Raw genomic sequence first — 27400 nt, forward strand, 5'->3', positions numbered from 1 at the left:
GGGACACTTGGCAGAGAGTGAGGCTCACCGCCCGGTGCCCCTGCCTGAAGCTGGGATTCTGCGGTGGCCCCAGGGTGCCCGTGGCACCAGAGAGGGGTTCAGCCAGGAACCGCAGGGGTTCCTGACCCAGATGGTCAGCCTGTGAGACCCCCACCCAATTCCAGGCCACATTCTCTACCTACTACTGGCTGAGAGTTCCCGGGGGAGGTCCCAGGAGTCTGCATTCTGAGAAGCGATCATTGTGGGGCACTTGGAGGAGTCCAGCCCAGGAGGAGGCCCTGGGAAAGGGGCCCGCCCTGAACTTCCTTCCTCCCCTACCCATGGGAGCCCAGAGAGGCTTTTCCTAAAGGTGCCGAGGCTGACGGGTAGCAGCAGAGCCTTTCCTGACCACAGGCCTCAGCAGGGCAGGTGGAAGGAGCAGAAGCTGGAGCTGCGAAGAGGCGGGTGCCTGGGTCCACTGGGGGACCCCACTGTTGCCCAGGGGGGTCTGTGCAGCCGCTGAGGCTGGGGGGTGAGCTTCACACCACTGGCTCATCAGCATGGCTCCTGTCCCCGGCCACAGCTGCACGAGGCGGCCCGAGGCTGACCAGCCACGCGCCCCCGGGCATGGAGTGATGGCTAAGATAGGAGGGGCCCCTTGTCATACCTGAGTCCCCCTTGGGACATCACCATCTCCTCCCCCTCCCAGTGCAGTTATGAACTGGGCCCCAGGGAGGGAAAGAGTCATATGCGACCATGGGCTGGGTGGACCCAGGACAAGAGCCCAGGGTCCCGACCCCCAGGCGGGCCCTTTCTGCCCCTGCAGCTCCCAGATGTCAGCTGTGAGCAGGGCAGGCCCCTCCTTCCTGTGTGCCCCCAGCCATCACAGCGGCCCCAGCTCGTCGTGGGCACTCAGTCCAATTGTCCCTTGGGTGATCCTACAGCCTTGGCATCCTAGAGGAGCGTGCCCCATGAGCCAGGCAGGGCTGGCACAGGCCTGAGAGGCAGCTCATTCACCTCTGGTGCCTGCACCTGCAGTGCGGTCCCTGCAAGGCTGTGCCGGGATCAGCTTTGTGCTGCCAGGCGGTAGGCCTACGAGGGCGGCAGGAAGCAACTGGACCACTAAGACTGAAGAATCTACAGTACAGATCATTTGCGCTTGAGATCTTTTAATTTTGAGTAATTTCCCAGCAGCAGGCTTCGCAGGGAGCAGAATGGGTGGGGAGGGCGGCCCCTCCTGAGGGTGGGCGGCTGTGGCCTGGCGGCTCCCTGGAGAGGCCCCCTGAGGCCTGTGGGCCAGCTCCTGGGTGGCCCTCCCTCCCCTGGGTCAGACGCAGGTCCCACGCGTTCCAGGCCACAGAGGTCTCCCTGGGTCAGGGACGAGGGTCAGGGGATGAGCGCGTGAACCTCGCACTCCTCAGGGGGCAGTGGCAGGTCCCACTGCCCTCCCGCCAGGCCTGCTGCTGGTCAGAGCTTCTCCTGTGGCAGGAATTCTCATGGGCCGGGTCATCAGCTGGGGTAGGAATGTGCTCTCAGGGTGCTACGGGCCACCTTGGCCTCAACCAGAGATGAGGGTGACGCAACTGCTCACAGGCCCGCTGAGGGGCAGCGACCTGAGGACAACTCCTGTGGGCTGCCTGTCTCTGCTGCCTCCTGCACGCGGGTAGAATCTGCTCGGGTCAGGGGCGGGCACTCCATGCGTTCTCTGGACCCCCGAGCTGCAGTGTGGCTGGGTTGCTGTGGTTGAAGGCACCTGCCTTAAGGGGCCAGGTCGGCGCAGGGCAGCGTCTCTCTGGGGTGAGGAGTTTATCTGAGTGCCTTAGAGAAGGCCCTTTGGAGAATGGCTGCAAGCCGGCACCCTTGCTGCATGGAGGGTTTGTTCTGCGTGGCCTTGGCTGGGCCTTTCCTGTCGTTTGGGACATATGTGAGTAGAATTGCCTCAAAGTGACTATTCTCACTCAGCTGCCAGGATGCCGTGAGTGTGTCTGCTGTGCAGGGGAGCGTGGTCTCTTCTTGCTTTTGCAGCTCCGGGCCCACCTGGAGTGCTTGGCGTGGCACTGGGCCGTGGCCTTCTGGGACGCGTGGGCAGCACCACCGTGCTTTCCAGGGAGCTGGCTTGGTGAGTGGGCCCCACTCTCCCCTGCTGCATGAAGAACGGCACCAGCCTCCAGCAGCAGCCGCCCAGGAGCTCTCGTGCATCCACTCTGGTCCTCCGGTCCCGGCTGCGCCTCTTGCACCAGGCTGGGGCAGGGATTACCAGCCGCACGCAGGCTGCGGGAACCCCCTTTGTCTGGCTTTCGGCGGAGTCGGCAGAGTTCCTTCCTTCTGGGCTAATGCCCAGTTTAATTGTACATCCCATTGTGTCGTCTCTGTTCAATCATGTTCAAAAATACCTACGTCCACTCCGTTCCCATTTAGATCTCTCTAAAGTCCATTCCGGCTTATCAGCACCGTAATTTCACGAGCAGAGCTAAGATTTCTGCCATTTAGGCCCCAGGCATTGTCTGTCGCGGCAGCAGCTGAGATAAACCCTCACCCAGAACAAAGTCGAAATGACCTTTTACAAGTAGAAGCGGCCTTGTTTCCCTCTAGACTAATTTATCAGCCTTCGTTTCAGCCCTGGCGCTCAGCGGAGGCTGGAGAGAGTGCTGTGCGGGGTGGCGGCAGAGGGGGATTAGGATGCTTGCTTGCTCCACAGTTTCAACAGGCACCTCTGGATCCTCGGGGACAGAAGCTGCCAATGGCCATGGGGTGCCGCCGAGGAGCTTGCCTGTGGGCGGAGAGCCATAGCCAGGTGTCCCCCAAAGAGCGGTGGGGGTCTCAGGGCCTGGGGCAGGGGCACAAAAATAAAACCTTGTGTGAAAACAACGAGCCAGGCTGGAAATACGTGAACATAAGCAACATGAAATGGCCGGGCCTCCGGAGCCCCTTGCCAGTGGGGCTCTGCTGAGCTTCTTGGTAACAGCTCACATGTTCCACCTACAGAGGCTGGCTGGCTCAGTCCTCCCCTTCCTGCCCACCCCAGGAACAAGAATCTCTAGGCAGAAAGAAGGGAGGAGAGGCTGCTCAGGCTCCTGGGTCAGCCAAAGTCCCATTTCTAGAAGGTTCCAGTTGCCCTGGCTCCTGGAGCTAGGTTTGCACTGGAGCTGCCGGGCCCCCTCAAAGCATCCTCATCCCATGGGGTGGGCCTCTGATGAGCCTCTCTAGTGCATGAAGAATCGCTGGGGGCTGAGAAGCGCAAGTCTTGCTCGGCTAGGAGCCCCAGCTGCACTCGAGCCCCAAGGGGCCCTCCGGGACAGGACGCCACTCTGCTGGCCCTTGATGCCTCCCACATGGACACGAGCACCATGCTGTCTTCCCGGAGAGACCACGGTGCACCCTGTCTCAAGTCTGAGCTCTCAGAGGTGACCCTGCCCCTCAAGGGCTCCAGGACAGCTGTGCAGTGATCCCAGGACAGGGATGTCCTTGTGTTCCGTCTCTCTCCCCCCACCAGGGGAATGCAGAGGCTACAGGCCTCCCAGGGTCTTGCTGGGGAAGGGACCTCACTTCCTCCTGGTGCACATGGGTGAATGCTGAGATATCAGACTGGAGGTAAACATGGGACCTTCTTCATTGTATCCCAGTGCAGAGGCTGAGGCTCACCTGTCTTTCCAGTAGAGGCAACAATCCCCGTGATGACTGCCCAGGGCCTGAGGGGCAGAGACTCTCCTCACAGCCGCTGAGTCAAGGGCCTGGGGAGAGGGGCCTGGGGGTCTGGCCTGCCGGCCGAGGCTGCCCTGGATGGGGGCTGAAGCCTGCACACCGGCAGAAAACCACAGGCTCTACCGAGGCCCTTAGCCGGGGCCCTCCTTTAGGCTTAAGGTGGATTTTTTTTTTATTTTTTATTTTTTGAGATGGAGTCTTGCTCTGCTGCCCAGGCTGGAGTGCAATGGTGCTATCTCCGCTCACTGCAAGCTCCGCCTCCCGGGTTCACGCCATTCTCCTGCCTCAGCCTCCCGAGTAGCTGGGACTACAGGCGCCCGCCACCACGCCTGGCTAATTTTTTGTATTTTTAGTAGAGACGGGGTTTCACCGTGTTAGCCAGGATGGTCTCGATCTTCTGACCCTGTGATCTGCCCGCCTCGGCCTCCCGAAGTGCTGGGATTACAGGCGTGAGCCACCGCGCCCAGCCTAAGGTGGATTTTAAAACAGCCTGGGAGTCCTGCGTGGGATCTGAAGAACAAATAAAGTATCCCCGGCACGCGTGGCCCTCCTGGAAATGCAGAGAGTGCTGCTTGTCCTACCTTCCGCCAAGTGGACAGGGCTTGGGGGTCATGGGGCGAGTGTCTCCTGCACCTAATCCCAGCCTCCACCCCGATGATGCTGCCTGTGGACTCAGCACAGAGCTTCAGACCTGACCACGGGCACAGAAGACGAGGACAAGAGCCGAACCGGGGGCAGAGGAGGAAGAGAGGAGGAAGAGGAGCAGGAAGGAGGAAGGAGAGAGAAGAGGGAGAAGAGGAGGAGGAAGAGGAGGGGGAGGAAGGGGAAGAGGAGGAGGACAGCTGAGAGCTGTGAGTCCAGGGTCAACCCTTAGCCGGAGTGGGGACTCCGGGGAAGGCCAGCTGCCCAAATGACTGAAGTCTGATGGCAGAAGGACATCAGGACCCCTGAGTTTTGGGAGCATAGACCACGCTGCCTTCTTTTGAGGAGGACAGGGATGGAAAAAGGGGTCTGGGCTGCATTTTGATAAAAGCCTTCAAACTCCATTCATATGATCATAGGAGCTGGGGGGCTGGAGACAAATGTATTTCTCTTGCCTCTAAAATTCGCTTTGTCATGGGATTTAAAATTACTTCAATTGCACTGACTTGAAGCTCGCACAGAGATGAACAAGATGCAGCCTCGGCGCTCAGAGGCGGGTGTCCAGTCCCCAGAGAGGTGGCCTTCAAGTCCAGTAGCCCAAGCCACGGGAGCCAGCCTCACCCTGGCCCCACACCAGAGCTCCCACCGCAGGGCCCAGCCTCCTGCTCACTGGGATATTCCCTCATGAGACCTGGGCCCTTGCAGTCATCAGGAATGATGTCAGCTGTGGGGAGGACAGGAGGGCCACCCGGGGCAGCTGCCCTCTGAGGGACTTTTTGCCCCTGAGCATGGCCTCGGGGGCTGGGAGCCCCGGCTCTGACGTTTCTCCAGTGACCCCTGGCAGGTCGGGGACCCCAGCCACTTCCAGCACCTGCAGGGCAGGACCTCCCCGCTTGGATGCTGGTGACACATTCTTCAGCTGGAGCCGAGTAGGGTCGTGTCTGCCCCGCTTCCACGCGAGCCCTCTCCCACCTGGCCTCTGTTTCTACCTCGGGTTGGTGTCTCCCGCCCACTTCTGTGTCCACTGCAGAGCCTGCGGCTTCCCAGATCCCACATGAGCTTAGGCGCTGACTCCACCTCTCGGAGGGACCTCCAAGTGGAGCCTTCGAGCAAGGGGTCCAGCTCCTGTAGGTTTCTTGCTTCAGTGGTGCCCGTACATAATAGTGGGTCCCACACGTCCATGAGGCAGGGGACGCCCTCACAGTGGAGAGGTCCCCACTGCCTTCTGAGGTTAGGAGGGCTTTCCACCTGCCTCAGGAGGGAAAGCACATCCAGGAAGCAGCGCCAAAGTCCTTGGAGACACCCCCGAAGGTGTGCAAAGGGCAGCCTGGCCTTGCCCCTTCACCCGCATGACCTCATGGTAGACTTTCATCATCTTGGCATTACATGAGGGGAAACTGAGTCTGGGAAACAGCACACGGTGCTGCTGATGGAGCAGCTGGGACCAGGACGTCAGATGTCAGCTGCAGACTGGAGGGCCTCCTGCTTCCCCCATCTTCAGGGAGCAGGTGCATCCTTCATGCTGGGGGAGTCTGGGGGAGGCTGGGGAAGCCTAGGGGAGGCTGGGGGAGGCTGGGGGAACTTGGCTGCCCTGTGGGGCCCCTGTGCACTGGGCTTTGCTGAGAGGCAGGGATGGGTCAGGGCTCAGTCCCCTTGGTCACAGGCGACTTCAGAATCCTAGGAGAGCAGACACCTGCTCGAGCCTAAGTAGGCCTTTTGCATTTTTGCTCTCTGGCTGCGCTGCCCATGTCCCCTTAAGGGTCTGCAGGTGAAGGATGGTGTGTGCCGTCTAAAGGTGAGGGATGGTGTGTGCCTTCTGCATGCTCCTGATTCCTCCTTTTCAACCTCAGTAGCTTTGTGAGGTTTTCGAAAAGCGATGTGCAGGTTTTTGAGATGCCTGCATCACAGAGCCGGGGCCCTGGCACCACAGAAAGAGGAGGACGGCTCAGGCTCAGGCTCACAGATGCTGCTGAGACCTTGAGCAAGCCATCGTGGCCTCTGGGCCTCAGTTTCCCCACCTGCTAAATGAGGAACTAAGAGAGGCATCTTGCTGGCCCCACCCAACTCCAGCCTGTGGTCTGAGTACTCTGATAGCCAAGAGGTGCAGAGACGAAGAACGTGGCGGTTGGTGTGGGGGAAGGAGTTTTCTTTGACGGAATCTGAAGAAAGTGGATAATTTTCCACTGGTCGTACCCTTGCCCCCAGCCTGGAAGCTGTGTTCTCCCGAACTGGCATTCTTCATCCCCGATGAATTTGCTGTCATGTGGGGTCACCAAGATAAAGCAGGGCAATTGCACACCACCCCCAACCCCGGGCTGAGGTGGAAAAGCCACTCTCTGAGAACCTCGTCGTCTGTTGCTTTGCTGATTTTCTCAAAGAAGTTAGGCTATGGGTGGTGGGGGGCCAGGGCTTTGGCGGTCATCCTTGAGATGGTTGCGTCCCACGCCACAGGTGGATTTAGTGAATGATGAGGCACTCTGAGAAAGTTACCTTGCCACCCACACAACCGTTGAGTTCTCATTCTATGTTTGTGTTCTAATAACCCAGCTTAGGTGAATGAAGAGTGAAAAGTACCTGGCACACTGCTGTGACTGAGAGGCAGGTGCTTATGAGCCCGTATTAGGGCCGTAGGGGCGCTGCCGCAAGGTGCCATGTGCTGCATGGCCTGCCTATGAGATGGCAGGTCCGGAGGCCAGAAGCCCCTGATGGAGGTGTTGGCCTCACTCCCGCAGAAGCCTCTGGGGTGGGGTCCGTGCGTTTCTCTCCCCGGGGGGGCCAGGGTGTGGTGCAGATCTTCCCCATGCTTTGGCTTGCAGACACGGTGCCCTCGAGGCCTCTGGCTTTATCTTCACGTGGCTCCTTCCTGCGTGTGTGTCTGTGTCCACATGTCCCCTTTGGGTAAAGATATTAGTCATATTGGATTCGGACCACCCTACCTGCGTTAACTCATCACATCTCCCAAGACCCTGTTTCCAACTCAGGCCGCGTTCTCAGGTCCTGGAGGTGAAGGCTTCAGCAGGTGAATTCGGGGGGGGCACAATTTACATAGATCCCTTAGACATCAACTATCTGGGCCTGGGCATTTCCAGGTATAGCAGGTGACAGAAGGCGGTGCCCCAGTGCACACCTGGTCCCCACGTCCCTGAAGCAAATGCTGGCACCTGAGACCTCCCAGACAGGCCCCCTCTGCGGACTCGAAGGGGACCACACCGGGATTAGGAAGGGAGGTGTATAGGTCCAGAAGTGATTAGAACTCAGGGCCAGTGACATATGAACGGTGGTGCCAACCCACGTCTTAACAGTAAGATGCCTTTTTAAGGCCGGCGTTTTTAGCCAATTCCAGTATTTTCCATTTGGAGATAATGTTAGTGAAATAAACATCAGAGCAGACTTGGCCGCTCACAGATACCCGTGCCCCTGTAGTGTGTGTGGGTGTGACTTCCACAGATGAAACGTCTGTGTGGGGGGAGGGCAGTGGAAATTGGGGTAACTGTGGACCCCGCCTGCTCCCCGCAGGGCTCCTACAACTTTCAGACAGAAAAAAAAATTGATTTGGAGGTAAAACGACGTCATGTGAACATTTCAAACATGGGAAGGAATCCCACACTGATCCCTACAGTTTCTAGAGAGGGAACCTTACCGTCCCAGAGACACACACCCTCCTGGAAGAGCAGAGGCCACCAGGGAAGTCTCCGAATTCCTTCTAGCCCTGCCCCTGTCCCAGGGGAGCCCGTGGCTCCGTTTCTGAACCAGTGTGTGGGTGAGGTTTTGGGAATGCCAATAGCTCGGCTGCTCCGTTATTTGTAGTTTTTAAAGTCTTCTTTGAGGATGGTGCAGGCTTTCAGAAGCCAGGCCGACAGCCTGACTTTGCGTGTACGTAGACGTGTGACCACGATCGTGTGTTCTGTCTTTGGCCCGACCGGCCCTGGGTTTGTGAACCTGCGGCTGTGGGTTGCTCACCCTTGAAGGCCCTTGGGAGTGAAATTCAAAAACGAAATGGTTAAAAAATGGGCGGGCAGGCAGGAAAGGAGTGGAGGGATAGGAGCCCAGCGGTTGGCTAATTGGAGAGTGGGACCCCCGTTGGGGGGGGCCCTCGCCGGGACAATGTGCTCCGAACGGGGAGCTGGGAAGGCCCCGCGGGATTGTTATCGAATTAGTTGAAGTCAGAAGTCCCCTGAATGGGGTAAAGAAGGGAAGGGGAAACGCAGGCCCGGGTATAATGCGGCCTAAATGAGGGCCCCATTCACTGCCCGTGAAAGGCTCCCGTCCCCTTCCCGGGAAGGGTGGGCAAGTTCACTTTTGTTTGGTGGGGGCGGGGCTGCTCTCAGAGTATGTTCTTACCTAGAGCCGGGGGGCCAGGGGCAGAAGGGGAAGGGGGCATTGGAAATAATCCCCCGACGGGCAGCAGGAATGGTGCAGCCACAGGGCACCCACCGGAACCCCCAAGGCGCCTTCTGAGCTCCCTCGGCCCCAAGTTCACCAGAGCACCCACCCCGCCGGGGAGACCGCCCCTCGTCAGCCATCCGGTCACTCCACTTACACCCGGGAAAATGCCGAGATGTAAGATGTGCCTGTGTGGCCAGCTGCATAGGAAAGAAATGTATCCTAATGGCTGAATTAGAAAAAAATGTTATTGGAAGGAGGAGAGAAACCCATGAAATACAGAAATGGACCAGCCAGAAACCCAAAAGGCCAGGAAAACAGAGGTGGGGGGCAGGGCACAGCAGGTTACATAGGAAAATAAATACTTAACAAAGTGCTGTGCTCAGTAAATATTTGTTGAATTCATACATTAATTAATTTTCCAGATGAGATTTTCCTAATCCATTTTTTAAAGAAAATAAGGATTAAGAAGGAAGTGGAATCTGGTTATGAGGGCGGGCTCGGTGGAGGTAAAGGGAAGGTGGTATGTGTGAGGTTGGGGGCTGGGCAGTCCAGGGGCAAGGCTAGAACCGGCTTCCTGGCCAGGCCTCGGTAATTGCCCCAGGGGCAGCTGATCTGAGTTCAAGTTGCATCCCCTGCCTCTTCACCCACCTCCCAACCCTGAAGCCGGTGCAGCGGCATGGACTGGATGGAACCACCTGAATCTCCGGATCCCACACAATTAACCCTCTCCCAGGGATCTGAATGCCGAAGGAGCCCCCAGCCCCCTGCCCTGACTCAGGGAGTTGCAGAAAACAGCAGCGCGCCCCAGCGCTGCCCTCCCAGCTGTGTGTGAGCGAGACCGGGGCTAACAGCCCCCTACCTGCGTTCCCCATGACCGGTGCTCACAACAGAGGTGCCCCAACTAGTACTGGTGCCCCCGTTTTCTCAGCAAGTCCCCTTGTCGGAGGCCACAGAGCTGGGGTGAACCTACTCTGGGAGAACCAACACCCCACACTAAGCCAGTGGCCCACACTGACCTGGCCAGGCCACTCCTCTGGAGATCCTCCCTGTGAACCACCCACAGAGGGCCCTTTCCCAGAGAGACCACCAGTGGGCCTGGACCCACGCCCTTGGGGATGAGCAAGCTCTCGTGTATTTGCTGTGTGTGCAACACGGGGTTCCTCTCGGGGCACTGGGGATCCCGAAAGCGTGTCTGGTGCAGAAGGCGTGACCTCCAGGCAGCTCCGAGACGGGAAGTGATTGGAGTGTAGGCGTGAGGTCCCGGTGCTGGATAGACGCACACGCCTTCACGCATCCTCAGAAAGTGATGTTGCTGAGTGAATAGAAGGTGCACGTGGCCCTTCCTGAGTCTGCTCACCCTCCGGACACACACGCATGCCTTCCCACGCTCCTGTGCACACACCCCTCCCGGCCCTTCCATGGAGGACCTGTAGGAACCCGTGGCCTAGGGTGAGCTGGGTCTGAGGCTTTGGGACCCGTGCCTGGACCAGTAGCTTCCCAGATGTGGCATCTGAGCAAGAGGGGCAGAGCGAGGCTGGCATGACAAAGAGTGAGCCACCCCATGAAATGGGCCCGGCAAGGTCACACGGCACCAGCTGGCCCAAGGCTGGTCAAGAATCCGAGTTTTCTGCAGAGGGAGACACAGCCTGACACCTGGGACCTGTGCAGCTGGGTGGAGTAGAAAGGGATGAAAGGAGGAGGGGCGGTCGGCCCAGGAAGCAGGGCGGGCAGACGGCGACCCAGGGGACCTGTCCGAGAGGTGACATAGAGGACAGCAATGCCGCCCGCATGTCCCCACATGGACCTGCTTCCAGGAAGGTGGAAAAGGCCCATGGGATGCAGAGCAGAGGAGACACAGCTGTGGCTTAGTCAAGAAGGATGGTGTCCTGGTGCGGGGAGCTTTGGGGGGCGCCTTCTCACGGTGCCAACCCGCCAGCCCCGCCCTTTGCCATCTCTGAAAGCGCTACCCAGAAAACCTCCTAGCCCAGCGCCATTGATCCCTTTTTATGACTTGGAAATAAATTCGCAGCTACAAAACCCGAGGTCATTTGGTTAATTCCACTGCCGAGCTCCCCACGGCGCATACCCCCGGATGCTTCGGCCCAGCCAGGTTCCTTGCTAAGGGCAAGTTTTACGACCTTGGGAACATTGGCATTTGTTTATGGCAGAGAAGTGAAGTTTTGCTTCCCCCAGAGGCCAGAGTGTTTCCACGGACGGTTTTAAAGGGGAAGCAGGCACATTTGTGACTAAGTCACCAGGCAGGCGTGATACAGGAGACAATGCTCTTTGGAGCTGCCCACGTGGCGGCAGCAGCCAGAGGTCCCTTTGCCCAGTTCTCTGGCCTCTTCTTGCCCTGTGCACACCTGTCACCTGAGACACCCGTACTTGGCATTCGCTCTTCAAACAGGCATTCTGTGAAAGTAACGGTCCCTGCGTGCTGGGGACGCCGGCCTTGGCCACGTGCTGGCTGTGGTCTCCCGGGAGCTGAGGAAAGGAGTTCCGCCTCGCAGAATGAGGCAGGATTCTCCTCTTCCATCCCCCTCTCTAGAGTCAGAATTACCCCAATAATTGCGCTCATCTGACTCCAAGGCCGTCTCCAGAGTTTCGAGTGTGAAATAGAGTAGCTGTCTCTCACCAAGGCTGTCACAGTTCTCAGGAACCAGAGGAGAAGGCAGGAAGCCCCCGACCCCTGGAGCAAACCCCTGGGTCTTCATAAAGCAGCTGCTGGCACAGCGGCTGAGAAACCCAGGCGTGGACCCTAGCCCGGCCGCCTGTCCGCGTGGCATCCTGAAGAAATCACTGCATCTTCCTGTGCCTTGGTTTGCTCATCTGCGAGAGTCCCGGCCTCCCTAGGCTGTTCCAGGGATCATGGGGGCCTCTGCATGGGAAAGCCCAAGCCAGCACCTGCCCCGGCACCTCTGCATCCACATGGCAGCTCCGTCTACAGCCCGAGGGCCCCATAACCAGCCAGAGTGGCCACGCTTGAAGCCTCACGGGGCTCCAGATGGAGCCTCCCTGACAAGGGGACCTCTTCTTCCCGGGATCTTGTTCCGACCTTTGCTTAAAGCAGTTTCCCCACTGGCTCGGTTCACGTGCGGGCAGCGATTCTCTGGCCCTGCACTGTAGGGTGTTTAGTGTGCCCGAGGCCACCCCGAGTGATGACGACGATTGAAAATGTCTCCAGAGGCCTGACTCGGTGACTCACGCCTGTAATCCCAGCACTTTGGCAGGCCAAGGAGGGTGGATCACGAGGTCAGGAGTTCGAGATCAGCCTGACCAATATGGTGAGACGATGTCTCTACTAAAAATACAAAAATTAGCTGGACGTGGTGGTGGGCACCTGTAATCCCAGCTACTTGGGAGGCTGAGGCAGAAGAATCGCTTGAACCCAGGAGGCAGAAGTTGCAGTGAGCTGAGGTCACGTGACTGCACTCCAACCTGGTGACAGAGCAAGACTCCGTCTCAAAAAAAAAAAAAAGAAAAGAAAAGAAAAGAAAAGAAAGTGTCTCCAGATATCTCCGCCAGGTGTCTGCCTGGGCAGCAGAGTTGCTGTAATGGAGAGCCACTGGTCAAAGGTATGGGCCACCATCCCCTTTGTGGGGTTTGTCCTTTGGAACCATCTCCACCCCCTGAAGCCATCTCCTCTTGCTCCCTGAGTGCCTGTCCAGAGGCCCCCCCAGGTCCCCACGAGTGGGTGGAAAGTCTTGGGGACAGAAGAAACCTGGCTTTTCCCATGAACAGATGTCCCCCTCGCCACATCAAGGGAGTGACTTGCTCCGTCTGTCATGTAGTGACCACCTGCTTCTCAGCAGGTGGCTGGGACTTAACTCTCAAGGGTATTTAGGGACAGAGAGCAGTGGGAATTCAGAAGGAGCTCAGAAGGGAATGCCCTGTGCCAACCTAAACCTGGGGCAGGGTGGACAGCAGGTGGCTTTGAATATCCTAGTCAAAAATATGGGAACATTTTGGTTCCAGGGGTAAGAAAAAATTAATCATTTATTTGGTAAAGGCCCATGACTGAGTGGAAAAGCAACAAGAAGAGAAGGACAGGAAATAAATCTCAGAGTGGGATTTACTAAGCACGGTCACGCTGAACAGTAACTGTGGGCAGGGACAGCACTGCACGTTTGACATCGGGGCACGCAGCTCCGACGTGGCCGGTCCCGACTGGCACACCTGCCCCGAGTCACCTGGGACGGACTGCAGCCAGCCAGCTCTCCCTTCTTCCTGGGGAGGCCTGTGAAGGTCGCGTGAATGCCTGTGTCCCCCGGGACAGCCAGGGAGGCAGGAGGCCAGGCCTGGGTGTGGAATAGGCCTCGCTGGGAGGCCGTGGTTCTGCTCCTGCACATTTCCAAAGGAAGCTCCCTGTGGGTGCGCGTGGAAGCTGAGCGCCTCAGTGGAATGTCCTGGAACCTCACTTCGGGATCCTTTGTCGAGACCAATTGGCCACAAATGCCACCTCCTGCTTCTGGAGAGGTTTAGTTGTCAACGGCCACCAGGAACCACAGCCCTCCCGCCCCCCACAGAGCCCCTTCCCTGAGGGTTGGGCCAGGAACTTGTCTTGTAGTTTCCTGAGCACGACAGCCAGGACTTGGTCCAGCGTTTTCCAAACTGGCAGAACCCGGGGATCTAAGACGGGCATGCTGGAAAAGTAGTGACAGTTATTTGCCTCCTGATCTAAGGTTAACGGGGACTTCCAAAAGGTGCACCTGTGTTAGCCCTTTCACAGAACTCTTACTTAACATGGAAAATATCGTAGCATTTTCTAGAGACATTTGCAGGAAGGTATTTGACACATTAAAGCCAATTTTCTTTCTCAACTACAGAAAATCAGTGACTACTATTAACATCTTACTATTAACTGTAACCCAGGTATGGATGTCTAGAACAGAAATCTATTCAATAAATATTGGATAATTGCAGCAGCGGAAACCAGCTCGCTATGTGCCGATGTGTTCCTGCAGCTGCTTCATGTTACTCTGGGCTTTTAGGGCAGCCAGCCTGCACTCACAGGCAGGTGGGCTCTGGTCTGGCTCCTGAAGCTTTGCAGGATCCTTGCACTAGGATTCAACATGAAGGCAGCTCGAGGCATCACTCCTGATCCAGCTCTGAGCATGGAGATGAGGACATGCTCCCTGGGATCCATGGGGAAACCAAGGCCCTGGAAGGCTTTCCCCCCTCAGATTCAGGAAGGAGCCGCACAGGCTCAGAAGCCAGGCTCCCAGCTGGAACCACAGCTGCAGACAGCCCTGCCCAGAGCCTGTGGGCATCATGGAAGTGTGTGCGTGCACGCGTGTGTCTGTGCACGCGTGTGACTTTCACGTCTGATTCCACTTACTCAAGCCACATGCAAAGGCTGATAAAATATTTCCCAGACATGCTCTAAATAGCAGGCACATGTTCTAAGTTGAGGGAATCAGAATTCAAGAGAATCTGTGGCTGAACTTATGTCATGGGTTCACAGGGCTGGAAGGGGCCACCCTTAGCCTCTAGATATGCATTAGTTTATTCATTCACAAGATATACATCCACTTGTTCATTCACTTATGAGATGTTTATTTCTTTATCCATTCATAGATATGCATTTGTTCATTCATTCGTTAGATATCGCTTTGTCCACGTATTCATGAGATATTTGTTTATTCACTCATTAGAGATATATCTGTTCATATATCTATTAGGTATTTATTCATTTATTTATTCGATATGTATTTGTTCATCCATTCATAGATATGCATTTGTTTGTCCATTCATTAGATATCGATTTGTCCACGCATTCATGAGATATTTGTCTATTCACTCATTAGGCATGTATTTGTTCATACATTTATTAGTTTAGATATTAGATATTGATTTGTTTATGCACACGTGTATACATTTGCTGATCAATTCACCCACTAGGCATCTATTTCTTGGTCATTTGTTCGATGCTGGTTGTCTCCTCCTTCATTAGACATCTGCTTGTCTGTCTCTGCACTCATGGACACTTGCTTGCCCACCCATTGTACACAGGTCTGTTGAGAGCCTGCGGTCAGCAGCCACCCTGCCCTTCTTCCCTAAGCTGTCTTGGTCACAGCGTAGCCAATGCCGATTTTCTTTTTCTAAGTAGACCGATTGAAAATAAGTGAAAGTCATTTCCGGGCAGCAGTGTCCACCTGAAAGTTGAGATATGCACAGTGTTGACCGAACATCTCTCGTGGTGTCTGGTCCAGCAGTGTGAAAAGCCGTGGGCTTGATCTAGCTGGAGATGCGGCCGTGGGTGGACTCCTAAGAAAAGACTCAAGGCAGAGTCTCTTGGGGCCCGTCGGGGGCTGCAGCAGATTCGTGTCTTGAAAACAGGTTGGGTCCAGCTCCCTCTGCTGTGAGGTCCCTGCCTCATTGCTGGGACTTTTGTCTCAAGGCCCCGGCCTCGTCCTTGGTCGTCCAGCCCACTGGCCGCAGCAGTGGGGGCCGGCGCTGGTGGTCAGTGCTCGCTCACCCTGCCCTGCACAGCCCCTAATGTTGGCACTTCACGGACAAGCCGGCCTGGGTCCTCAGAGGAGAATAAATGTGCACGGAACAGCACACGGTGGCCCATGGCCTTGCAGCACGAGCGTGTCCATGCGTGTGCACGTGTGCATGCGTGTGCGTGCGCGTGCATCCACGCCTGGCGGCCTGGGCCCGGCGTGAGTGTGTGGGTGGGAGCGGGTGTGTATCCGCGGCTGCTCCATTCTGCTGTAAAGGCTCGCTGCAGTGGGCAACATGGAGGAGACATGAAAGAGGGGACAATAAATAGCTTCCTACCTTGCCTGGATAATGGGCGAGTTCTCCGGGTGGATTAATCCTCGCGTCGTCTTTGGGCCGTCAGTTTGGGAGTGACAGTAACAAGGCTCCCGGGGACCCTGCTAATTTGCACTCCATTCACCGGCTCGTGAAACCGTCAGGGCTGCGGAAGGACTGCGCGGCGCGGGCCTCCATTCACTGGGAGCCTGATATACTGGGAAAGGGGCCAGTGCGCACAAAGCCCAAAAGAGCACATGGGTGAGGCTTTGTCCCTCCTCTCCCGTTCCCTTTTATGCGGCCTTGTGCTAGTTAAGCTCCTCATTTGTCCCCGCTGGGGCTCGGGGCTCTGGTCACCCTCAGGGGCTGCCTTTTCAGGTGATCTTGACACCCCTCTGGCCCTGGCCTGAGTGGGCGGTGGGGGCAGGGCTGCCTGAGCGGGGGCACCTTTGAATTCTGGGAGTCCAGGCCTGGAGCCGGCCGGACGCTGGCCTGCAGTAGGGACAGCAGAGGTGGCCAAGGCCCCTCTCTCCTCACAGCCTCCTGCCTCCGTCCCCATGTTCTGGGCGCCTCTCAGAGGTCCTGGCTGGACGCCTGCACCCCAGAGTCTTTGAAGGTGGAATGGAGGCCCCCGCTCATCCTCCCGGCCCCCTCGCTGAGGTCCTCCCGCTCATCCTCCCGGCCCCCTCGCTGCGGTCCTCCCGCTCATCCTCCCGGCCCCCTCGCTGCGGTCCTCTCTGCCACTGTGGATGGGCTTCACACAAACTGAGATGGGGAGGCCCCATCCTCTTGGTTCCCACCAGCACCTGCATTTCCGCCGCTACCTCGGCGTGGCTCTGCCTGCTCCCTCCCTGACCCCAGCTCTGCCCTCTCCCTCCAGCTCAGCCTCAGATTTTAAGTACCCACCTGGCGAGGGGCCCTCTTCCCTGCTCCTGGCACAGAGGCCCCGAGCCTTTCCTTTTTCATGTTGCTGGTGACCCCTCCCCAGGTACTCGTTTAAGAGCTCCCTGGCAGCAGAGCTGGACACAGGGAAGTCAGTGGGACCTTTGTGGCCACGAAACAGGTCTCACCCAGAAAGGAAAGCGGGGTCGGCTCGCCCGCCTGCCGCACGCTTCCCCGGGAGGCCGAGCTCAGGAAGACGCGGCAAATCCCATCCTATGTGCTTGCAGCAACTCCTCTGCCAAAAAAGGAAATGCCACCGCCAACAGCAACAGAAACACAGATTTGGAGATCCCCAAATTAGCCAATAAACACCACCCATTCCGTGGTGAGGGGGGAAATGGAGAAGAAACCACCTTCCCAAATCTTTATGAATTAAACATGGCATGTCCATCAAGTCATAGAGACAACCATTTCTGCTTAATTTGCTGACACAAATCACCCTAACTATTTTGCTGGGGAGAGGGGTGTGGGGGCGGGATGGCGGGTCCTGGGCGTCTCGGCTCCGCCATTGTCATTAATTATAAAATTGGGAGGACTGTAATTTTCCACTTAGGCTTGTCACCAATCGGGCAGTCACCCCAGCTGTGCGGGTGCCCCCCTGGGTTTGGTTGTGCCCGTGGGGGGTTGCTAGAGAGTCCTTTGTCGCCTCCCTGGGGGCACAGACACCTGGAACTCACTCTTTCTCCGAGGAACAGGAGCAAGTGCGGCATTCTGGAGGGAGGTGGCACTTGTTTCCATGAGATGCTCCAAGCTCCTCCTGTTCTTACCCAGCATTTCCCCAGGATTCCAGGAGACTCTGCCTGGCCCAGGAGGTTCTGCTCTCCCCAGGCAAGGAAGCGGGGTTTCCGGGACACCACGTCCACCCCAGGTCACCTACAAACAAGGTCAGCCAGGGCCGTAGACCAAGGACTCCCGAGGCCAAGCCGGTGCCTTCCCAGGAGGCCTTGCCACCCCCCATTAATCCTGCAATTCCAGATCATTATCAAGGTCACTGCCTGGTACATTAACTCAGAAGCACGCGGGTGACAGGGTGTGGCCAGTGCACCAAGCAGAACGGCCAGGCAAGCTGCGCCCAGACACATGTCGGAGTCTCGTGTGGCCACTGGGTCCGCCTCGGCTGGAATCTGCCATCCTTCTCCCACCACAGCCCCGCCCCTTGTCTGCAGGATGCAGGACTGCCCGGGAGGCTCTGCTTGGCCAGCAAAAAGTGTGTTTCCTTGTAAAAAGTTTACCAGAAAAGAGGAGAAAGTAGTTAATGGAGAAAATGGTTTTCCTTTTCAGACAGGCGTCTTTTCCTTCCATTCTCCTATTGGACACAAACCAGAAACTTCTAGATCTGAGGAGGGTCTGACACGCTGGGCAACTTCCAACCCTAACACTCTGTTTCTATGCAAAAATAATGCCTTTCTCAGTTCAAATGCTGCTAGGCGACCCAGGGCGATGGCGGCTTTTAAGAGCTGATGTCCACCCAATAGCACCGTCAGACTCGCAGGCCTCAGAACTCCAAGCCCTTGGTCAGGTGCGGTGGCTCACATCTGTCATCCCAGCACTTTGGGAGGCCAAGACGGGCAGATCACCTGAGGTTGGGAGTTCAAGACCAGCCTGGCCAATGTGGCAAAACCCTGTCTCTACTAAAAACACAAAAACTAGCTGGGTGTGGTTGTGCACACCTGTAATCCCAACTACTTGGGAGGCTGAGGCAGGAGAAATGCTTGAGCTCAGGAGGCAGAGGTTGCAGTGAGCCGAGATACATTACCACAATAGCATCTCGCAGGGGCAAGAATGGCTTCAGCTAAGTTAGTATCATCCTCAGAGACAGATTCTTCTTATTCTGAATAGTGTGTTGGGCCCCTGTTGGGTGCCTGGCCCTGTGCTAACATGTTCCACATCAGACGAGATACCAACACATGGGGAGATGGTTACAATGAGCTTGATCTTGACCGTTGGGGAGCTGTGGCCCCAGGATGCTTCTGTGGTGAATACAGACCTTTTGGCTGGGCAGGGCCTGAGACCCTGGTGTGATACCCTGGGCATCGTCCCCCAAACCTTCCTTTCAGGGCCACCGATCTTAGAGGTCAATGCCGCAGACCTGACAGTGGGGACCTGTGTGTGGGGATTGTGTGGTCAGCTGATCAAGGTATTTTTTCAGCCAATGGGACCGTATCCAAACATCATCAAAGACACCATCCCATCTGCTTCCCCATCGCTGCTGTTGGTCCTGATGTCAGTGTTGGGCTCCTGGATAGCCTGGGTTGAGGATTCTATCAGAACCAAAAGGACATCCCCAAGAAGTCCACTCCTACTGCTAAGGAATCTGTCATTCAATAAACAGGATCAGATGGCACAGAACAGAGCGGAACCCGACCTCTGTGTGGATGATCCACAGGTGCCACTGGGACCATGTCAGGAAGAAACAGCCATGTCGTGGAAGTGCAGCCAGGCCCTGGGGACAGGCAAGGCCCACGGGGTCCAGGAGAACAGGGCCTCCAGGAGGGTCATGGGTCCCGGGGACAGGCAAGGCCTATTGGGGTCCAGGAGAACAGAGCCTCCAGGAGGGTCATGGGTGGAGGCGGGAGAGAGTGGTTTGTGTGGGGTGGAAAAGAGTGGTGCAGGAAGGAAGGTGGGGGCCCTGCCTATAGAGCCAGCAACCTGGCTGCAGCCCCACCCTCCCTCCACCGAGCGGACCAACCCAGAACCCCACAGGGGCCCTGTCCTCCGGGGACCTGTCGAGTCAGTGCTCCTCTGCACGGTGGCTCCAGGCCACCCCTCCCTTGGCCCTTTCCCACTGGGCGTGGAGGGACGGCCGTGGCCTTCCCCTGCCAGCCCCTGCCCTCCTCCTCGGGTGCCCCCACGTCCTCTGGTTTCCCCTCAGCTCTCACAAATTCTGCCCGTGTCCGCACCCTCATTAATCAATGTCAAGGCGCGGCGTCGGCAACAAGGGGCGCATTCTTCCCCGGCTCCTCAGCCTCATACATCCCATTGTTCCCGGGGCCGATTCAGATGGCAAGAAAACAGCCTATGCAGCACATAAAAGAGATGAGGCAAAAATGAAAAGAATCAAGGGAGAAAAAAGAGGAGGCATTTTTCCCCCTGAAACACTCGAATAAATACTCGGCAATGATAATTTAAATTATTCATACATTTATGAAAACATCCATTGAAAACCCAAGTGTATGATGCTCTTTGTCTCTGTCTCTGTCTCTTGTTTGGGATTAATCTTTACTGTAATTCGGGCTGGCCGTGGCCCCCTGACAAAGGCCACACTCTCTTTCCATGGGAAAAATGTTTCCACATATCCCAGCAAGGAGCTGGGGAGAGATTTGTGCTGACGAGGCAGTGTCCAGGCCCCCGAGATGCTGAACCAGCCATGTTCAAGAAGCGTCCAACCCGCAGAAAGTACAGTGGGTTGTCACAGTGCTGTCACTCCAGTGACATCCATGCCACGGGGCTGGGAAGCCAGAGGGGCCTCCACAGAGAGGAGACCCACAGAGCATGCATGCTCCTGCAGGCCCCTGAGCCCACCAGGGAAGGAGAATCCAAGAGCCTTCCCCAATATGGCCTGCGTGGGGAGACACACCCAGACACATCCCCACCCAGGTCTGGTGGGTTGGTGGGTTTCAGATGCCCCCGGTGGCTGTCCCCCGCCGAACCAGGCCTAGTTGTCACATCACAGCTGGGCACACTCAATGACCTGCCATAGAAGGCTGAGGTGGGCATCCTAGCAGGCTGGAGCTGGGCATCCCAGAGTCTCCCCAAACCTGGGGCAGGAGTCAGGAGCCACACTGTCCGGAGGCTGTGGTTGGCCTCACGAAATCAGAGAGTCTAGGCCCATGCCTGAGACTGGAGATGCTGAAACCATTCTTGATATTGCAGAGGGCGGGGCTGTGGCTGTGGCCATCAGCATGGAACTGGAGGGGACAGGTTCCTGTAGCCAGTCATCCGTGACTGCCATAGAGTTCAGGTGCCCACTGTCCGCACCTCTGTCTTCCTCAGCCTCCCAGGCTCCTGGTCCCTCCCTGGGCCACCACTGTCTCTGACAGCCTGAAGCCACCCACTGGGATTGCGGCAGTTCCTCTGTGAATTAACTCGTAGCCTAGCACTGTTCCATGTCCAAATGTTGCAGGGCAGCAGGGGAAACGGCACCCTCTGTGTGGATAGAAGCACGCTTTCTGTGTGGTGTTTTCCTCCAGGGCTCCGTGACCAAAGCTCATTCCCAAACAGGATAAAAAGCCCCGGGTGGCCTTCTCCTCACACACCTTTCACCGTGAAACGGGCATTCGCCCGTGTGTGAGTTGATCGGCAGTGATTTCTCTTCCCTGGAAGTGACCCAGAATCCATTCCTGGGCGGCTGGCGTCCAGCTCCTTAGCCTGGGTTAGCGCTGGGGATGGGGCGGCCACAGCAGTGGGCGCACGGCAGCTTGCAGGCTGTCAGTTCAGAAGACGCTGCAGCAGCTGCTGGGCTGCCCCCCAGCTCTTCTCGGCTTATTTGGTCTGGAATGGGAGCAGGGATCTCATGGGAACAGCCCTCCTGGTTGGATTTATGGCTTCTCTGGTTTGGGCCAGGTCAGAACTCAAGAGGAAAACCGCTCCTTTCTGCTCCTTATTCCAGATGAAAGTGGATCTCAAGAGTGCCTGGGAGCATAAACTGGCCTCTGTCGAGCTTGGCAGCCATGCTGAGTGCGCTGGCCTAAGTCTACGGCGAGGGTGAGGGGTTCTCCCAGCCACTGTGGCTGAGTGCACGCTGTCCAGAAGCAGCGTTTTCACTCACGGCCCTGCTCTTCCTGGGGCCAGGTCCCCGTGCCGTGCATCCCGGTAGATCTTTTTTTTCAACACGGGAGAGCTCTTGAGAAACTCAGCCCAGTTTTCCTTGAGGCCCTGCGAGTTTCATTTTGGGCTGGCTGGGACGCGCGCTCTTCCCCCTAGAAGTATTCGGGATGCCGCCTGCATGCTACCTCGCTCACTCCCAACTCTGCTCCCCACACGAGGTTTTGGGGTGCCCCCTTGGACTGCTGCCACCGGCCTCTTCCCCCTCTTGCCGGCCCTCCCTCCTCTGTCACCGATGTTGGGGTCTGGGAAGGTAGCCAAATGCAGGAGGACACCGGAGCAATAAATCACCCCTCATCCAACATCTGCAGGCCCTGGGGCGAGCCCCTCGCTGCCGCCCCCATCCCATCCCTCGCCACAAAACACTATTGTCGTGGCCAAGTGAAGAAGAGTCGCCTGCACTTACAAAGGGCCTCTGCAGCCTGGCGTGACGGCCAGAGGAGGTGCCTGGCTCTCGGCAGGGAGCCGCAGGGCTCTTTCTTCCTCTCTGGTTCGTACTTCTCCTCTCTCATGGGGGTCCCCCAAAGCCTTTCATTCCGGCTTCATATTCACATAAAGACATCAAGAAAAAACCCAGCAGAAAGAATTATTAGGCATGGCTGTCAAATGCTTTATCGGAGAAGGGGGGAGGGCAGTAACCCGTTAGGTGCTGGCCAGCAGCCCCAGCTTCCCCAGGTATCCCCAGGGGGCAGCCGGGGCCACCTCGGTGTGCGGGAACAGGCCATGACACACTTGGGCACACCCACCCACTCCAAGGCACACATACGCACACGTGCACACAGATGTGCCCGCCCGCACAGGTGGGCATCGGTGGGGCCTGTCTCTTCACCAAGTTTTGAATGGCTACACCTGATCTCAAGGCCCTTCCTTAGAAAGGGATGTTCTCTGCCTTCCTTCTGGCTCTTTCTTTCTTTGTTCCAATTAGCAGAAGATGCTTCCTCCCCTTATCCACACTGGCAGGTGCCTCTGCCACCTTCTACCCACGAGCTGGGGTCTTTTCTACTCTTGGCAGCGAGGGGTGGCTGAAATCAGATGTGCCCTGGAGGCCAGGCCTCAGGACGCTCCTCCCCCAGGTGCACGCTCAGCGGACAAGGTGGACAACCCGAACCACGCTTGCTCAGAAATCCCGTAACCCAGCTGGCATTTTTGGAGACGTGTTCTCCCTCTTCCCTGCAAAGAGCTTTCTCACAGCTCACCCTAGACAGTTTTGCCACCTGCCAATCCCAATGGCTTTCCGAAAGTTCACAGCCTGGGGCCCAGCTCTCCCAAAGGAGGGGTCCTCGCGTCCAGTGCCGGGCTGAGCGGAGAGCTGCAGGGGAGAGGCGTGTTCTGCACACTGCCGCGAGGAGGGCCTTTAGGATTTGTGGTGAGGGGCACCCCAGGGTGGGCAGTACCTCAGGATGCATTTTCAACACAGCCTCACGGTGCACAGAAACCGAAAACCGCATGCCGACAAACGGCTCCCTCGGCAAACATTTTTATTTCCAATTAGCAAAAGAAAAATTGCTAATTTGCTGCAGTTGGACCAGGCTGACGTCTCAATCTGCGGAGTGTCAGCGCAGTGAAAGAAAATGTTTCACACTGTGTCGGCGAGAGCAAGCAGCTCTAAAGAGGGTCAGGGCAGCGGGCCCAGAAACCAGATTGACTGGCCACAGCGCTAAATTACTCACACAAGACACACATTGTCTGCCGTGCCAGCTCCCGGAGGACCTGCCTTCTCATTCTTTCCCCTTGGAGCTGGGGCGGGGGAAGGGGTCCAGCGTGGGAGGAGAGCGCAGGGGGCTGGCAGGCCCTCGGTAGGGCAGTATCATCTTTGGGAACAGAGAGAGTCAGAAGCCGGGTTAATAATTACCCAGGTCTGTCTGCAGTGTTCGGGAACAGGACGATAAAATTCTCCCAGATCCCCGCCACAGCTCTGCACTCGGGAGATTCTGTGCAGATAATGTCCCGCAGGAGTGAGGGCTGAACATGGCAGGAGCAAGGGCTGAACATGGCAGGAGCGGCCATCTCTCTCGCCCTGCATTTCAAGGCTCTGTAACCGCCCGCCTGCCCTGCTTCACCGACTTCGGGAGAAACCCCCATACCTCACGGGCGCTGTCTCCCCACCTCTGGCAAGCCGGAGGAGGATATCTCAGCAAAGCCAGCTCCCCCACAGGCATGAGGTCCCCCGGATCCACGGAGCTAGCACAGGCCATGGACCCAGACCGGCGGAGTCTCCCTGGGGAGATGGCGAGGCTGCGGTGCTGGCCACAGATGTTTGGCGCTGAGGTAATAATGAGCCTCTCCTGAAAACCATTGACCACGTAACCTCAGACAGTAAAAGCCCCCGAGTGGGCTCTCAGAGGATCTAAATGGGTTTGCCTGCATCTCCAGACATAGCCCTCATTTTGAAGAGACATTCATTCCGTGCCCACACGCGCCGGGAGGAATGCATCTTGTCCTCGCCGTGCCCACGCCGTCACTCCGTCTGCGGCACCTTCCTCCACACATCTCTGTGGCCCCACAGCACGCCCAGCCTCCCAGCCGATGCACACAAAACCTGTCCCCAACACCGTGGGGCCACGTCACAGGCATCATAGCAGCCGGCCAGGGCAGCCCCAGGACCTGTGGTCTGTCCTGGCTCAGACTCACGCCCAGGGCCAATCCAGGAGCTACCTGCAGCCCTCCCCGCGTCTGCCACCTTCCACAGCTCTGTGGGCCTGGGACCTGGTCACGCAGGACCAGCACAGGTTGGGGCAACATTGGGTCGGCAGGGCTGAGAAAGCCAAGACCTGCTTGCAGGTGCAGGGGCCACAGGAGCAGCCGGCCCACCTGGCCTCGAGTCTTGCCGTACCCCCAGGCTGCTGTGGTTCTCCTTGGCCTGAAATGCAACGGAAGGCTGACTTTGGGGATGGTCTAGAGGGGCCCTTTCTTGAAAGGACACCATTTGGTCTCTCTCCCCATTCTCTGGCAGTTCCTGGGTGTCACTGGGAGAAGCTCCCTGGATGACAGGTGTGCAGGGGCCTGGCAAACAGGAACCCAAACAGGGAGGCAGCCCAGGGTGCAGGGCTCGTGCATCTGCTCGCCTCCTCCAAGGGTGCTGCTACAGTCTGCATGGGGAAGCTCCTCGCCTTGGTCTCTTTGAGATAAGCTGCCCAGGGAGGAAAGGGCCAACCTAGCCCAGCCTTGGGAGAAAGTGCACCACAGTGGCAGAGCCAGCCTCTTCCAGCCCTTTGACACATGGTGATTTCAGAATCCATCCCATCAGGCCACTTGATGCTCAGACTCAAGAGAGGGAGACCCTGTCTGGGAGCAGGAGTCATGTTTACAACCCAGGGTGGTCAGTGAGGTGGAGAGGGGGGACGGGTTGCCAGTGGCTGGGCCTTGGAATTTCAGCTGGCCATGCCGACACTGGCTTAGGGCCTTGGGACGTGTGCAACCTCACCGTGTGCAACTCAGCCTCAGCATTCGGTCTCTGGCAAAGATGGGCAGTGCCCCACAGCCTCTGCCTCACTCCGCTCTTCAGGGAAACAGTCTCTAGACTAAGAGAGCAGAAGACTGGACTCTGGGCCTCCCGGTTCCAGCGCTCAGTTGCCTGCTGTGTGGCCTTAAAGTCATGAGCCTCTCTGAGCCTCCGGTTCAGCGTAACAGAGACAATCAAACCGGATCATGTACGTGGGACTTTTTTCCAGAAGATGCAAAAGCTGCTTGGATTTGCTGTGTTTGCACAAATGACAGGCGCTTGCAGCTGGCCTCACTGGGGAGACTCTTTGTCCGGCCTGCACCGACTCTCTAAGCACTGCATGTTCTTTAGTCAAAATAAAGCATTGCTGGTCGGGCCAGCAGTCACAGAGAAGTCTGGCTTCCAATGAACGTCATGCACTGCGCTTGCTTGGAGAGCAGAGGCAGGGGCAGCCTCTTGCATTTCCCCCTTCTCCCCTCAATGCCTGCCCGGCCCTGAAATGTCCACCCTGGGCATGTGGGACACACATGGATGCCCCCATGTACACGCATGCACACACATACACATGCACAGACGCACATGTGTGCAAACAGTGACATGCATGCGTGTCTAGGCACATGTACACACAAACACAGGTCGTGCATGCAAAACACATGTGCACACAGATGTCCACACACATATACAATTTCCTCATGGAGAATTCACTCCCATCCTGAGGCCCAGAACCTTGGAGCCATCCTCAGAGTTTGCTGGGTATGGAGAAATCTGTGCAGGAAAAGCCACAAATTTAGATGGGGATACAGTAAACTTCATGAAGTAGTCTCGCGTCTTATCTGCTCCCTAGACCCTGGAGGGCGTCCACTGCTCCCCAGCAGAGGTCTGCAGGCCCCGTGCTGGCAGGAAGTGAGGTGAGGGAGGCCCAAGGGGAAGGAGGGGCTGTTGCAGGTGCGTTTGCAGGGCCAGCCTCCGCCACAGGTGCCGTGACCTTGAGCTCAGGTCCCACCCCCTGACAAAGCAAATAACCAGCCAGAGGGCTGCCCACGTGGGTTCCCTCCCACCCACCCAGCCCAGCCTCCCCCAGTGAGGAGCTGGTGACGACAGATGTAATTCCCCTGGGAGGGAGCGGTGCCCCAGCTGCTGGCCCTGAGATGTATTTTCCAGCGTTCTGAGCTGGAAGAACAAGCTGAGGCTCCAGCAGGCCTGGGTGCTGGGACTTCCTCTTTTTTGCTGAGGAAGGTCTCTCTCCCTCCCTCCGCCATGAGGAGTGGGGGCTCGCAGCCTGTTGCCAACTACCCCGCCTTTCTTCCCTCCAGGAAGCCTCTCCTTCGGCCTGTGGTCGGCTTCAGGAGGTGGAACCTGCGGGGCCCCTGCCAACCAATGGTGCTGGTGCTGGGTGTGTTTCATGGCCCTGCCCAGCAGGCCTCATGCACCAGCTACCATGCAGGGGAGGGCCTGCTCCCCATCCCAGGGCACTTAGGCCCAGCCCACACCCCAACGTGAGACTCTGGGGCGGACTGGGCATGGGTGCTCTGCAGGGCCCCTGACTGTCTCCAGCGTGCAGTGGGGCGAGGACCAGCATCCCCATTCCCAGCACTGCAGTGGATGCAGGCTTGGTTCTGGATCTTTCCCCACATCCATCTGTGATTCCTGGGCTTGTGGTTTCCAAAGCTGAAGCCTGATGTGAGGGCACTTTGCATCCAAAGGGGCCTGGAGAAAGTGTGCAGTTTGCCCTCAAGGCCGGGGTGGAGTTTGGTGGGTGGGTTGGGGAGCAAGACCAGGTTGAGGGGCATTTGGATCGGTCAAGACATCCCCAGCTCCAGAGACTCCCAGACATGAGCGTGCGTGGGGTAGCATCTGCAGATGGAAGCTCCTGTTCATAGAGGTATCCTTGGAGCAGCCAAGGTGGCCCTGCCTCCGCCGTGGCCAAAATCAAGGCTTTTTTTTTTTTTTTTTTTTTTTTTGAGACAGAGTCTTGCTCTGTTGCCAGGCTGGAGTGCAGTGGTGCGATCTTGGCTCACTGCAACCTCCGAAAATCAAGGCTTCTTTCTGGAGTCTGGGAATTAGCAAATGAACACACCCTGGGCCAGTTTTAACTAGGGCGCGGCTCATCGCAGTGTTGATTACGGAGTTGCTATCGATTTTCGTGGGGAGCAAACGTTTCTGGAGTTTACGATGCCTGTTATCGTTTGGCTGCTAGAAGCGCTGCTGATGAGCCGAAGTTCATCTTTTGTCTGGAATGTTCCTGGGCTCAGGCATCTTCCCCAGCTCAGGAGTGTCACGCCTCACACAGGTGCTGACCCCACGCTCACCCCCGGCATGCAGGCATTTTTCTCTTAATCGTGGCAAGAGGGAGAAAGACTGGCCATCCAAGTACGTGATGGTGAATCTAGAATAACATTGCTTGGATTTTCTTTTTCTTGAGCTCAAACTAAACTCATCCAAAGCCTGCTTTACCTCTCAGGGCTGCAGGGGAATGCACCATCAATTTGAGTGTTGGGTCTGCATACTCATGTCAGCCCTAGGAACTAACTTCTCAGTCAATCACAGACCAGGTGCAAGAGGTCACGCGATACCAGGGCTGGGGATCAGCCCCCGGAATGGAGGGGGTCGGCGGAACAGGCAGCGAGAACCGGGAATAACCAGAGTGGGACCAGCACAGGGGTGCAGCCTCCTGTCTCATCACCCACCTTGTCCACTGCCTTTTTCAACTTTAAACACCGTGAG

General features: G+C 57.2%; 1 protein-coding gene and 1 long non-coding RNA gene across 5 annotated transcripts in view, besides 5 other annotated features; one reads left to right on the forward strand and one right to left on the reverse strand.

The window, feature by feature from the left end:
- PRDM16 (PR/SET domain 16) overlaps positions 1 to 27400 on the forward strand; it is a 369419-nt gene that overhangs the window by 127289 nt on the left and 214730 nt on the right. The window lies entirely within an intron of this gene.
- LOC105378605 (uncharacterized) lies at positions 14245 to 17254 on the reverse strand. 3 transcript variants are annotated; one of them, XR_007065434.1, is made up of 3 exons: positions 17088 to 17254; positions 16539 to 16645; positions 14245 to 15436 (listed from the first exon to the last, which is right to left on the reverse strand). It is a non-coding gene; the product is annotated as an uncharacterized LOC105378605 (long non-coding RNA). The 3 variants fall into 3 exon arrangements; XR_007065436.1 differs by lacking the exon at positions 16539 to 16645; XR_007065435.1 differs by lacking the exon at positions 17088 to 17254 and having other exon boundaries at positions 16539 to 16715.
- Positions 20775 to 21543: an enhancer, noted in NCBI's record as "H3K4me1 hESC enhancer chr1:3133830-3134598 (GRCh37/hg19 assembly coordinates)". NCBI's record gives its function as "activates a minimal SCP1, AML or CMV promoter by ChIP-STARR-seq in naive H9 embryonic stem cells {active_cell/tissue: H9 hESC(naive)}" and the evidence as "EXISTENCE:reporter gene assay evidence [ECO:0000049][PMID:30033119]".
- Positions 22365 to 22908: an enhancer, noted in NCBI's record as "H3K4me1 hESC enhancer chr1:3135420-3135963 (GRCh37/hg19 assembly coordinates)". NCBI's record gives its function as "activates a minimal SCP1, AML or CMV promoter by ChIP-STARR-seq in naive H9 embryonic stem cells {active_cell/tissue: H9 hESC(naive)}" and the evidence as "EXISTENCE:reporter gene assay evidence [ECO:0000049][PMID:30033119]".
- Positions 22909 to 23451: an enhancer, noted in NCBI's record as "H3K4me1 hESC enhancer chr1:3135964-3136506 (GRCh37/hg19 assembly coordinates)". NCBI's record gives its function as "activates a minimal SCP1, AML or CMV promoter by ChIP-STARR-seq in naive H9 embryonic stem cells {active_cell/tissue: H9 hESC(naive)}" and the evidence as "EXISTENCE:reporter gene assay evidence [ECO:0000049][PMID:30033119]".
- Positions 25080 to 25622: an enhancer, noted in NCBI's record as "H3K4me1 hESC enhancer chr1:3138135-3138677 (GRCh37/hg19 assembly coordinates)". NCBI's record gives its function as "activates a minimal SCP1, AML or CMV promoter by ChIP-STARR-seq in primed H9 embryonic stem cells {active_cell/tissue: H9 hESC(primed)}" and the evidence as "EXISTENCE:reporter gene assay evidence [ECO:0000049][PMID:30033119]".
- Positions 25623 to 26165: an enhancer, noted in NCBI's record as "H3K27ac-H3K4me1 hESC enhancer chr1:3138678-3139220 (GRCh37/hg19 assembly coordinates)". NCBI's record gives its function as "activates a minimal SCP1, AML or CMV promoter by ChIP-STARR-seq in primed H9 embryonic stem cells {active_cell/tissue: H9 hESC(primed)}" and the evidence as "EXISTENCE:reporter gene assay evidence [ECO:0000049][PMID:30033119]".

The sequence above is a fragment of the Homo sapiens genome, chromosome 1, assembly GCF_000001405.40.
Source record: "Homo sapiens chromosome 1, GRCh38.p14 Primary Assembly".
In the NCBI taxonomy this organism is placed as follows: Eukaryota; Metazoa; Chordata; class Mammalia; order Primates; family Hominidae; genus Homo; species Homo sapiens.